The sequence below is a fragment of the Homo sapiens genome, chromosome 6, assembly GCF_000001405.40.
Source record: "Homo sapiens chromosome 6, GRCh38.p14 Primary Assembly".
Taxonomy (NCBI): Eukaryota; Metazoa; Chordata; class Mammalia; order Primates; family Hominidae; genus Homo; species Homo sapiens.
In genome coordinates this window covers 51,853,113-51,865,937 of record NC_000006.12, presented here as the reverse complement: position 1 = coordinate 51,865,937, position 12,825 = coordinate 51,853,113, and the positions used below count along the sequence as shown (strand labels likewise).

Below are 12,825 nucleotides of genomic sequence, written 5' to 3'. Positions count from 1 at the left end.
CTTCTAATTTTATCTTTCTATGATTCTATCCCTAGCTATTTGTGCTCAGTGGCTTGATCTTTGTCCCAAAGCATTATAACCTCATTAGGAACATGTCAGAGCTAATGAGCAATTTGAATTCAGCATAGATGCAAACTTTGCTGCATTTCATGGAGAAAGGATTAATTTGTTGTGCTATTTGCCCTGGGGCAAGCACCCTAAGAGTTGATTTACAAAGCTCTCACAGTTATGATCTTTTGGGGTTGCATGTTGATGGAGATCTAATATGGCATAAGCACCCTGCTGTCTTCACTTTCAACCCTTAACTCCCTCCCTCAGTAAGAGGTCCAGAGAGGGCAGGGAGTGAGGCTTTACATAGCTGCATAAACAAGACATCCTCTTCCTGTTCTGCTAAGAACCAAGCTCTTGGAGTGTGAGTTCTTCCTTGGTAGGCCCCCTCTCTGGTCCATTTTCACTATAAGTTATTTGTTTGACATTGGCAACCTTCTGTTCCTGTCCCTCACTGCCTTAAATCTGACGGTGCTTACCTTTGTGGCACTTCCTACTTTATTGGTTCCTATGACTCAAAGCCAGCAGTTGGGATGACAGAAGTATTTAAATATTTGAAGTTGGCCACACTATTTAATATTTGGGTGAAGAAAAAACTGCCACTCTACAAGGCAGAGTCTAGTTTATGTTTTGTTAAAATGACAGCATGCTTGATCTGCGTGAGTGCTGCTTATATTGTTTTCTCTCTCATCAGCTCTGAAAACATGCTTTCTGTAGAAGCCGCAGGTATTCTGGATAGCGTTCCTTTCCCAGCTTCTGTTTCTACCAGCTTCCCCCTATGAACCTCAGTGTTCCTGGTGAGACAGGGGTAGTGTTAGTTCTGCCAATGTAAGTCAGGACCTCATATCAGAAACACATGCCAGTGACAGTTTTTCTCCAGGGTCCCATAATTATAAAATGTCCCACATAGTTCTTGGATTTATCTATCCCAAACTTTAGGTAAACATTTTTTTTTTCTGTATAGAAATAATTACACGAAACAAGTACAATATTATCAGTAGGATTTTGTGTGCTCTTTTTAGATCTCCCTAGTCCAAATTGTGATGTGCCGTAAGAGTGAATTACCCACCATATAGATAAGACTTAATATGAAAAAAAGAATGTAAAATATCTCAATAATTTGTTTATATTGATCATGTTGAAATAATATTTTGGATAGATTGGGCTAAATATATTACTAAAATTAATTTAACTTGTTTATTTTGAGCTTTTTAGTGTGGCTACTCTAAAACTCAACTTGCCAAAATGGGATTTATGATTTTTTTCTGTAGACCTGTTTCTCTCTGGGTGCTCAGAATCCCACTGAGGCAAATGCTGGTCTAAACCTGAAACATGGAGTCATCCTTGACTCATCTTTGTACCTTATTTCCCACACTAATCACCTATCAGCTCAATTTTCCTCCTTAATAAATCCCTTTTGAGTCTTTCTACTACTCTCCTTCCCCAAATCCTTCTCCAGTCTGGGCTACCATTACTTTTCACCTGTAGAACCACAACAGCCACTTAGCTTGCCATTTTTCGGTGTTTCAATCTCTGAACTTTCTAAATGCAGATCTGATCTTGCCATCCATTCCCTTGCGTGAAACTTTTAAAGAATTCTCAGTGCTTTCCAAGGAAAGTCTGACATTCCTAATGTGTCATGGAGCTTCCGTGTCCTGCTGTCTGCTTTGGGTTCCAGCATTATCTCTCAGCACTCTGCTCTACCTTTCCTGCATTCTGTCCCTTAGCCACATTCAACTTATTTGTGCTCTTCAATTCATAATGTTCAGCTTCCATGAACTCAGCATAGAGGTCGTTTTCTCTGCTAGGCTTCCCTGAGCATGCTGCGCAGGTTTTGATATCTCTGTTGTGTGCTAGCTCTTTATACTTGCTCTAATCAGTACTTATAGCACCTGCATAGCTTTCTAAATTGTCCGTCTGTCCTTATAAATGGCAAGGAGGGCAAATAGGGATTTTCTTTGTATTATGATGCCCCAAACTCTGTTTAACACATAGCAACTCAACAAAATTGGTGTTGAGTAAAAAAATATAAATAAAAAATAGTGGACTGCCCCCAGATCTTCCTTTAGTGTCCTTATTGTCTATTTCTCTCCTAGGACATGTTCATGAGGAGTCCACAGCATTCGGCTTTTCTTCAGAAGACCCAGGAGTAAAATGCTATCTCCAGTCTTCTAAAATTCCTAGGAATATCTAGTATTTAAGAATCTTCTTTCATAATCTTCTCTGGGCTTTTACTTTCCTGGGGCAATCATTTGACTGGAGGATTTATTCTAATTGCTGATTCCTTCTCTATCCAACCCCTCTCTACCCCCATTCAATCATCAGTTTGCCTTTATTTGTAATTGTTTTCTTGTCCTGGTGGAATAGGTACATAAAACTGTGATAGAGAGGATGTAAGCTCAACCCTTATAATTATTTTCTCGAAAATTTTTGTCATTGTTGTTTACAGCAATGTATAACTTCTTCACTTGTCGTAGACTCATTGAGATATCAACAGATCAGACCTTGATTCTGTCTTCGAATTTTTGACTGTATTGAGTGTGAGGGAGATTAGAAGAGCTTGCAAGATTTTGTAGGTTGGCTGACCAGTCCTTCTGAGTTTTTACAGGACGTACATAAAATAGTCAAGACATATATACAGTACATGTTTGAAATTATTTTTCAGACTGAAGAATAGAGAAGTAATTAACAATCCTTTGTGGGTACAAGTCATATCCCCTCTACTTCCTAGGTATATTTCTTTGCACAAGTTACTTTACCGCTTTTTGTTTCAGTTCTTTCATCACTAAAATGGGTATAATGGTATTTATCCCTCAGGGTCATTGCTTGACATGTAGTAGGTACTCTTTAAAGAATATCTATTTTACATTTGTGATTTACAAAACAACGCATAGGCATAATACTAATTGAATAGGTTACTGCAGAATTTTTTGTTTCTGAGAAACAAATGCCTGGCAAGGGAATTAGGTAATGTAACTTAATCCAATTCCTGAAAAATAGGGAATAATTTGTAATAATCATATGACGTTGTACTGACCCAGCAAAACCTCCCAGGTGGTTGTAGAACCTCAGGTCATTCAGGGCGTTGACTTTGATTCATCGTGCCCCAGTACCTTCTGTTTCTTCCTTCCCACCTCTCCTGGAAAATAAAAGGTTAGTGTTCTTGTTGATCACCTTGATTCTTAGATCTTGCTTAATATCCTCTCCTGTAGTGCTTGCGTTCAGTTTTTACCTATGTAACCACTCTTAAGGTGTCAGTGTTCAAAGTACGAGTCACCCCCTGCCTCTGTGAATGCAAAAATAAAGAAGAGTTCAAATGGAAATTTTGGCCTACCTTTTCCTCTAATAATCGCTTGACTTTCCTTCCTAGGGATAAATAGGCATGGCATCACTAATGGTATCTTTTCAGTCCTTAAAAAACAACCCTGTGAGACAAGAAAATTCAAAGATGTATTATCTTTTCTTGGCAGCAAAGGTTACAGAATTAAAGTAGAAAAAGATCTAAAAATCACAATGGACCCCAAACTGAGGAATATCATCAACAATATTACATGGTTATTAAGTTTTATGAATAATAAAAGGTTGCAGTGGTATGCTGGTAAATGTTTAACAACTAGCTCTCCAGAATAAAAAGCTCTGGTTTATTTCATTTGCCTAATTCTATAGTGAAAATACTCTCACATGCCTTATTTTAAGCTTCCAACCTAAAAGCACTGAACATATAGTTGGGAAGAAGGGTCAATGATGGGCTTCTGCCAGCCAGTGTCAGTCATCCCCATCACAGCTCTGGTATGCATATATATGGGAGGACAAGCTTCTTAGTCTAACTTCCTACCTGCTGGATAAAATATTTTTCAATATCCCTGACAAGCAGTTGTCCACCTGTCTACCTTCTGGTTGCATAGCTTCAATAACAGTGTTCTCGTGTTCTCAAATAGCCATTCCAATTGGACTCAGCAGATCAAAAGTAGAGATGCAATGGTATATGGTCACCTAAAGTAGGATAATGGACATCTATTGCTTTTCTTCATATATTAAGATAGAATGGGCAAAAAGTATTGTCCTAATATAACAGCAGATAACTATGTTGCAAAAACTGTAGATACTTCCTTAGAGGAGAAATATTTAAGTGTTTCTGAATCCATAAGGCTGTGGATGGAAAAACTTAATGATACAATGATAATGAAATATTACGGAATGGTGGCAGGTGTTAGCAGATAGAATAGTGGTGCTGTGACAAGGATTGTTATGAGCATGGTGTATTTTTAAAGGATGCTCATGCAAAACCATGCCACAGAAATTTGTTGGCTGTGCCCACAGTTTTGATTTTTCTTCCCCTTTGTGCAGTAAAAGATGAGAGTGACATCAACAAGCACAAATACTCAGAAGATGTTTGCAACACAATTTGAGGTTAGGTATTGTGGTGTGTCTGGCTTAGGAGATGGATAATTACAGAGGATTTATTTCACAACTGTTCCAAATCAAGAGCATTTAGAGCTCTGTGCAATGCTTGTCTTTAATACACAGATATGGACCCTCAGGAAAAGTAAGCTAATGGTAAACAAAAACCAGGGAGTTAATATCTGCTCTCATTGGTATTATTGATTGCCTAACAAATCCTTTGTGGGATTCAACAGTTCTTTACAGTACATGGGCACTAAGTTACATAACTCTTTAAGTAACTAGTATGGTAAATTGGTACTTTGACCAGGAAGTTTTACCAAGTGATAGTGTTATATTTCTAATGGAACATTTCCCTGAATTAAAAACAGGTTTGGGCCAGGCATGGTGGCTCACGCCTGTAATCTCAGCACTTTGGGAGGCTGAGGCGGGTGGATCACCTGAGGTCAGGAGTTCGAGACCAGCCTGGCCAACATGGTGAAACCCCATCTGTACTAAAAATATAAAAAATTAGCTGGGTGTGGTGGTGGGTGCCTGTAATCCCAGCTACTCAGGAGTCTGAGGCAGGAGAATTGCTTGAACCTGAGAGGCAGAGGTTGCAGTGAGCCGAGATCATGCCACTGTGCTCCAGCCTGGGCAACAAGAGTGAAACTCCATCTCAAATAATAATAATAATAAAATAAAAAATAAAATAAAAAAGAACAAACATTAAGACAGCCCACAGAAAAGAAAAACAACATGTAAGGCTTATAGCCCTTTTGTCTTTTTGATCATAGACAGGAGGAGCTGTTGCTGATGCAGAGGTAAGGGTTAACATTTAAAATGGACTGGTTGCCTCCTGATTTCTTGCACATAAAGCCATGAGAAGTTCAGGGAGAGACTTCTTCCCCTAGTAATGAAGCTCTCTACTGCTAATGGCCCATGCAGACTCCCTTGGCTCCTCCAAATTAGAAATACTTTTGTGCTCCTTTGCTTCATTAACAGTAAAGAGTGGGAGATTGGTGGCTATTTAGGGCATGGGGAAATTGGTGGCTATTTAGGGCAAGTGAAAATTGTAGTAATTATTGTTGGTAAGTTCTCTTCATGGTGTTTTTTGGACTCTTGATGTTCTTTTGGTGCTTTTCAGAAGACCCCTCCATGGTCAATTCTGGCATTTGGCCTAGGAGGACAGGAGATGACCTGACTGAATTTTTGGCCCCTGGTGATGGTCAGTACAAGCCATCTTGCCTGATGGGAGATGGGTCTTTTGCTTTTTGAGTTGCTTTTCAGAGTGGAAAGCATATCTGAATGCTTACCATATGACCCTCTCTCCTATCAGCTGTGATAAAAGTGTAGTATATATGATAACCTCCTTCTCTACCTGTATTGCACTACAGAAAGCTGGTGCTGCACATGAGTGCCTATGAAATTGCATCCCTAATAAACCTTGGTTGAGATGGGTGAGGGGAGCTTGATAGACTCAAGGCTCTGAGAGAATGAGCAGTGCATGAAGGAGAAATAAGAAAGTAATTTAGGATCACAGTGTGCTATGGTATGTCTCTGGTTGGCCAAGGAGTTTGCATCAGATTATTGGATTCTGACTAGAAGGAGAAGAACCTCAAAAGGAAGGTGCAATGTTTCCAAAGACAAATAGAACCAAATTATTGCTAGCATTTAGCAGTTTGACACTATTTGAAGAGGGACCACATTTGTATGGGCCTTCAGAAACTGGGGAGATTATCTGAAAAATGCTTCCTTCAATAATTGAAATTGTAATCTACAGAAACTGAGTCAGGGGAAATAACATCCTAAAAATTGGTCTGTAAATGTGGTGTTAATTGAAATTTGACGAGCAATTAAGTCCAGTTAAGGTGACCAGGGGAATTCTTGGGACCACATTGCTGGAATTAAAAAATATTTCTGGAAATATCTACCCAATTGATTATACTATCACATATTGAGGTAATTTTTTTTTTTTTTTTTTGGGACGGAATCTCGCTCTGTTGCCCAGGCTGGAGTGCAGTGGCGCGATTTCTGCTCACTACAGGCTCTGCCTCCCAGGTTCACGCCATTCTCCTGCCTCAGCCTCCCGAGTAGCTGGGACTACAGGCGCATGCTGCCACGCCCAGCTAATTTTTTGTATTTTTAGTACAGACGGGGTTTCACCGTGTTAGCCAGGATGGTCTCGATCTCCTGATCTCATGATCCACCCGCCTCGGCGTCCCAAAGTGCTGGGATTACAGGCATAAGCCACCGCTCCCGGCCGAGGTAATTTTTTTTAATGATCAACGTGGTATGCATGAGAAGATAGGTGAGGCAGGAGGAATTAAATGTGAACAGATGGATGCTTTTGAACAGAGATCTTCTTTTGGTTTGTAGTTAAAACTATTTTTAAAAAGTGGTTTAATTGACAGCACTTGACTAGGATTGCAGAAATATGAGTTTTCAAGGAAATCATAGCATTTTCCTAGACCAGAGACCATTATTAGTGCACATTGCTTGTGTGTGCCTAGGAGAGGTTTTCTGACCACTGACTATGTTTGTCCTCTTGGCAAATATCCTACTGATATGGGGTTGATTGTATCAAGCTCTAATAACTTAGGATCACCCAACTGCTGATTTCTTTTGAAAATAAGTTTGCAGGAAATCTCTTGACCCTCATGTGATTTTTCTAGGTAGACTTCCAAGTTGGGGAGAAATGTTACTGCATAACCAGCTGGAGTGTTCTGATGCATATAACACTTGTTTATTCAGTCAGAAAATATTTGTTAAACTCCCACTATATGAAAGGCACTTTTATTTCTTATGGTCAATCATTAACTAAAAATTCTGATTTATCAATTAGTCTCTCTTGGATTTAGGTCTTGTGATTTAAATAAATCACAAGATTTATTTAAATAAATCCAAGCCCATATGTCTCAGTAAAAACTGGAAGGATATACTTTTGGAACCTGAAACACTTATAATCATTCCCTGTACTTGAGGAAATTTAGATATTTCTAGTGTGTTTTATTTACTGACCACAGTACCTACTGTAGCCAATTTTGACATTTCTTAGTTCGAACTTACCTCTTATCATGTTTGTTTTACACTTATGTCCCCAAAGCTTATTTTTATTTGCTAAATATAGTTGGGCCAAATTGTTCCTGGAAAATATCCTGGGATTATGGGACTCATGGTTTCCATCAGGGGAAGAGAGAGCCATGATGACTGAGCGCAAATGGCTAGAAATTCTAAGAAGGGAAATTTAACATTCTAAAGCTTTTCTAAAGATTACAATTTAAAACTAAATCCCATATATGGAATGTTTTCTATTCGAAGATGTAAACACCCCATAACTGAAAGAAGGGGAGGGATGAAATATGGTGGGAATTCCTGCACTGAATTGGAAATTAGAACAGATGATCTTTGTGTTCATTCTGATTCTAAGAATATAGGTTGAGAATTGTCCATTAGTTCCAATTTAAATCCTGAAGGGGTGGGTGGGGAAGGGTGGACAACAAACCTAAGTATCTAAAACCCAAAGAAAGGAAGACATTTTCCCCTCCTCACAAGATTTCTAAAGGTTCAGTTAATGCTGCATAGGGAAATCTGAAAAAAGAATAGTTCTTTCATTCCCAAATGCCCTGAGCATTTTTCATCCCTTTCATTTCATTAGTTCATGGATGAAACAAATACATTTAATCTTGCAAGAAATATGTGTCAAGTGCTACATTGCCAGGGTCAATGATCTGTACCATGGAAGGGTTTTTGGTATGTTTTTAAATGACCGAATATCCTGAATAAACCTCTAGGCATTCAAATAAGTAGTGCAGAATGGTAAATCTGGCATATTTGAGGTTCTTAAATGAGACCTAAGTAGATGTTATTGGCCTTGGTGAGTGCTTTATGTAGATTATCTTTATGTTTCATAGTACCTATATGAGATCTATTCTATTGTTGCCTCCATTTTAAAAAGAAATGAATCTAAAGGTTAAATAGGTGCTGAAATTTGCCCAGGTTTACACACCTACTGAGTGCCAATCTAGATTTCAGTTGTTACCCATTTGTTCCAGTGCCCAAGTGTGCAACACTTAAAAAAGTTCCTTTTTGAATTATTCCACGGGCTTATAAATTGGCTTTAGATATACTCATGCCCCATCTCACTGTGAAAACCCAATGTCCTCTTTTGACTCATTTCCCTTACTTTGAGAATTTAATTATCTGCCTGCGGCAAAATGCCACAGTTAAAGATTCTCATGAAAACTAAACCAAAGGAGGAAGAACAGTCATAATGTGTATTGATTTTTTTTTTTTTTGGATTTTGCTTTATTTCTTTAGGTCCACTTTCACTCTCTTTTAGGGGTCTAATCATTGGCTAAATCTACTTATGCTTTAATGAAGTCTTAAAAATCATTTTCTGGGATGGCTGTATAGAATAAGTTGGGTAACTGGATTCACAAATTTCGAGTTCTACTTTGTGATACTCACATATTGCTTTTGCTCTACCCTGCCTCAGTCTCCTCATTTGGTAAAATGCAGTTCTTCTGAACGTTTTTATACGTTCTATATATAGAACTTTATATACATTAGAAAATGTCACTGGCTGCTTTTGGAAGATCTCATCTATGCATTGTTCATTCATATAACAAACATGATTTGGGTGCCACTGTGTGCTGGGCCCTGTGCCAGGGCAGAGGATACCAATAAGAAAGGGGAAAACACCTCTAACTTAGGGATCTTATAATCTATGTTTTTAAAAAGGCAAAGCCAAGAACACATAGGTACTGTAATAGCAGTGAGTACTAGGCATTACACAAGACTGCAGGAGAGGAGCAGGTTACCTCATCATTCTAGAGAAGGATGCTGAAGCCACTCCTGCTGGGCATTTTGAGCAGGACTTCTGAGAGTCTCAGCACCTAGGCATGTCAGGTCCCAGGCCTCTGTCAATTGTTCCTCATGTGAATATCCAATTACCAATAATAATGTTTTTTGCTGTTGATAAATCTGGTCCAAGGCAAAATTCTGGCCATAGACATTTCTTTGTTAAAATCATAGTATATAGTCTTGGTTCATACAAAATCATTAATGTGACATTTATTAGTGGTGGAGGTTGCAGTGAGCTGAGACTGCGCATTGCACTCCAGCATGGGCAACAAGAGCGAAACTCCGTCTCAAGGAGAAAAACAAAAAACAAACAAAATAAAAAACCTGAGAGTCACCACCTCCAGTTCACCAGGACATTGTAATTTGCAAATGATCCAATGGCAACTTCCCACTGGGTTGTTTTCACTCACACAGTGACTGCTAAAACCTCCCTAGACATACAACTAAAGAGGGCCTAAGACATATGTGGAGAGAATGGAAAGATGATTGCAATTGATGAAAGAGGAATGTATTGGATTCAGAATGAGCAAATAATCTCTCAACCCATTTTTTTTCCTTTTAAAATCACCTTAGAGCGAATACTCCTGAAGTTTCTTATGATTTAACCATGACTGACAGCAGAAATAAAACAACCACTGTCAATTATGTACGTGATACATTGTCTAACCCTCGTGGCTGGATGGCTCTGCTCTTGGACCAAGAGACCTACTCATTGCAATCTGAGAACCTTTGGATCAACAGATCTCTGCAGGTAACCCAAGGAATCCATTAGTTGGTATGCTGCATTCTCATTTGTTCTTATCTTTCTTTGTTTGAGATAATGGGTTGAAAGAGGAGCAGGTTATCTCGTTATTGAAAGTCTTGGCATATTCTGATGCAGATAAAGAAAACTTCAATAGTATTTTGGCCAGATGAATATAAGCTAAATATGAGATTTGGTTGCTTTTTAAACTTGAAAATTTTAGAATCTATTTATGTGTTATTGTGAATGCAGAATGGTTACGCCTGAAAATTTAAATTTATTAATACAATGAGAAACAACCTCTACACATCTTATAGCATTGCATTTCTTTAAAACTTATTGGTCAATAGCCAATTTACCCTAGAGAGAAGTGTTTGTAGCCAGAGAAAATGCCTTACCAAAGCATTTATACATTGCATACTGCCACCTTGTGGTCAAAGATTAACTTGCCAATCGAAGTCTGTATGAGTCCCCAGGCTGGATTGGGTTAAGGGAGACAAATAAGAGCAGTGAAGATAGAAATGGCCGTGTGGCAAGATGGCTTACTAGAAACAGAGACGTTCGGAGGCTACCATCGAAAAAACAAAACAAAAACATAATAAGCATGTGAAGCCTTCATCGGCAACCAAGGTATCCAGGTTCTCTTATCAAAATTGACTAGAAGGCTGGCGTGACCCACGGAGAGAAGGAAGAGCAGTGTGGTGCGGTGGCCCACCTGAGAGCCACACGGGGAAAAGGAACTCCGTTCCCCACAGCCAAGGGAGGCGGTGAGTGAGCCGCTACCCAGCCGGGGAAACTGCTTTTTCCACGGAATTGTGCAACCCATGGGTCGGAAGATCCCACTCGCGAACCCACACCACCACCCGGGCCTAGAGCCCTAAGCAGATTCTTACAGCCTCTCAGCTGGAATCTGCTTAAGCCTACCAAACTCCCGCGGGGAGGGGCGACCAGCACTGGCTGCAGCTGCCTGCTGTCTAAGCCATTTGAGCTCCCAGTTTGGAGCTCAGGAGAGGCAGCAGCCAGCACTGGGACTTGCAACTGCCTAACATGCTAAGCTCTGTGGATGGGGGAAAGGCAGCACCCATTTCTATAGCTCTAGGCTGCGTTTTTTCCCTGTTGGAGCCAGGGAGGCTGGATGGCTTTGTCCCAAGACTTGTCCCCACAGCCCAACATACCAGCTGTGGCTGTCTGCAGCCAGAGTGCCTCTTTGGGCCTAACTCTGACCCATCCTTCCTCAGTGGGCAGGCAGGGCTTCCCCGCAGGATCTCCAATAACTCCAGCCAGAGGCTCCGGGACAGAATTCATATCTCCCTGGGTCTGAGCCCCAGGGGGAGTGGGTAGCTGCAGTCTCCGTGGACCAGCAGACTTGGCCTGTCCTCCTGATAGTTCTGAGGAATCCCGGCAGCCCAGACGAGTGGGTTTCCCCCCAGTGAAACACACCCTCTCCACCAAGGGACAAAGTGCTTTGTTGAACGGGTCCTGCTCCTCATGCCACCAAACTGGGTGAGATCCTCCAACAGAGGTTGTCAGACACCCTATACAGGAGCGATCCTACTGGCATCAGGTTGGTGCCCCTCGAGGTCAGAGGTCCCAGAAGGAACAGACACCCATCTTTGCTGCACTCCTGTCTCCTTGAGTGACATCTCCAGGCATGGGAGCAAATCAGATGAATAGGGCCTGAAGTGAACCCCCAGCAAACTGCAGCAGCCCAACAGAAGAGGGACCCGAAAGAAAAACAAACAAGCAGAAAGCGACAACAACAGCATCAACAACAACAAAAACAACAAAAAGGCCCCCACAAAAATCCTATCCAAGGGTCAACAGCCTCAAAGACCAAAACTAGACAAGCTCAAAAGGATGAAAAAGAATCAACGAGAAAATGCTGAAAACCAAAAAGGCCAGAGTGCCTCTTCTCCTCCAAATGATCACAACATTTCTCCATCAAGGGCACAGAACTGGATGGAGGATCAAATGGATGAATTGAGAGACGTAGGCTTCAGAAGATGGGTAATAAAAAACTACAATGAGTGAAAGGAGCATGCTCTAACCTAATGCAAAGAGGCTAAGAACCTTGATAAAAAGTTAGAGGAATTGCTAACTAGAATATCCAGTTTAGAGAGGAATATAAACGACCTGATGGAGCCAAAAAACACAGCATGAGAATTTTGTGAAGCACACACAAGTATCAACAGCCGAATTGACCAAGTAAAAGAAAGGATATCAGAGTTTGAAGACCACCTCACTGAAATAAGACATGCACACAAGAAAAAAGAATGTAAAGGAATGAACAAGGTCTCCAAGAAATATGGGATTTCATAAAAAGACTGAACCTATGATTGATTGGAGTACCAGAAGGAGACAGGGAGAATGGAAAAAAGCTGGAAAACACACTTCAGGATATTATTCAGGAGAAGTTCCCCAACCTAGCAAGACAGGCCAACATGCAAATTCAGGAAATGCAGAGAACACCATTAAGACACTCTATGAGAAGACCAACCCCAACTCCATGAGAAGACCAACATATAATTATCAGATTGTCCAAGGTCAAAATGAAGGAAAAACTGTTAAAGGCAGCCAGAGATAAAGGCCAGGTCACCTACAAAGGGAAGCCCATCAGACTAACAGCAGACTTCTCAGGAGAAACTCTATAAGCCAGTGGAGATTGGAAGCCAATATTCAACATTCTTAAAGAAAAGAATTTTCAACCCAGAATTTCATATCCAGCCAAACTAAGTTTCATAAGCAAAAGAAAAATAAAATCTTTTCCAGATAAGCAAATCCTGAGGGAT

General features: G+C 40.3%; 1 protein-coding gene across 23 annotated transcripts in view, besides 2 other annotated features; it reads left to right on the top strand.

Annotated features, from left to right (window-relative positions):
* The window catches only part of PKHD1 (PKHD1 ciliary IPT domain containing fibrocystin/polyductin), a 472,317-nt gene that overhangs the window by 221,678 nt on the left and 237,814 nt on the right, over nt 1–12,825 (top strand). For all 23 annotated transcript variants that reach the window (XR_001743469.2, XM_017010944.3, XM_017010945.3 and 20 more), the window contains one exon: nt 9,868–10,045. Coding sequence is in view for 22 of the 23 variants with exons in the window: in XM_017010944.3 (XP_016866433.1) it covers nt 9,868–10,045 (178 nt within the window). In the remaining variant the exon portion in view is untranslated. The remainder of the gene's footprint in view (nt 1–9,867; nt 10,046–12,825) is intronic.
* Nucleotides 10,397–10,920: an enhancer, noted in NCBI's record as "H3K27ac-H3K4me1 hESC enhancer chr6:51719816-51720339 (GRCh37/hg19 assembly coordinates)". NCBI's record gives its function as "activates a minimal SCP1, AML or CMV promoter by ChIP-STARR-seq in naive H9 embryonic stem cells {active_cell/tissue: H9 hESC(naive)}" and the evidence as "EXISTENCE:reporter gene assay evidence [ECO:0000049][PMID:30033119]".
* Nucleotides 10,921–11,445: an enhancer, noted in NCBI's record as "H3K27ac-H3K4me1 hESC enhancer chr6:51719291-51719815 (GRCh37/hg19 assembly coordinates)". NCBI's record gives its function as "activates a minimal SCP1, AML or CMV promoter by ChIP-STARR-seq in naive H9 embryonic stem cells {active_cell/tissue: H9 hESC(naive)}" and the evidence as "EXISTENCE:reporter gene assay evidence [ECO:0000049][PMID:30033119]".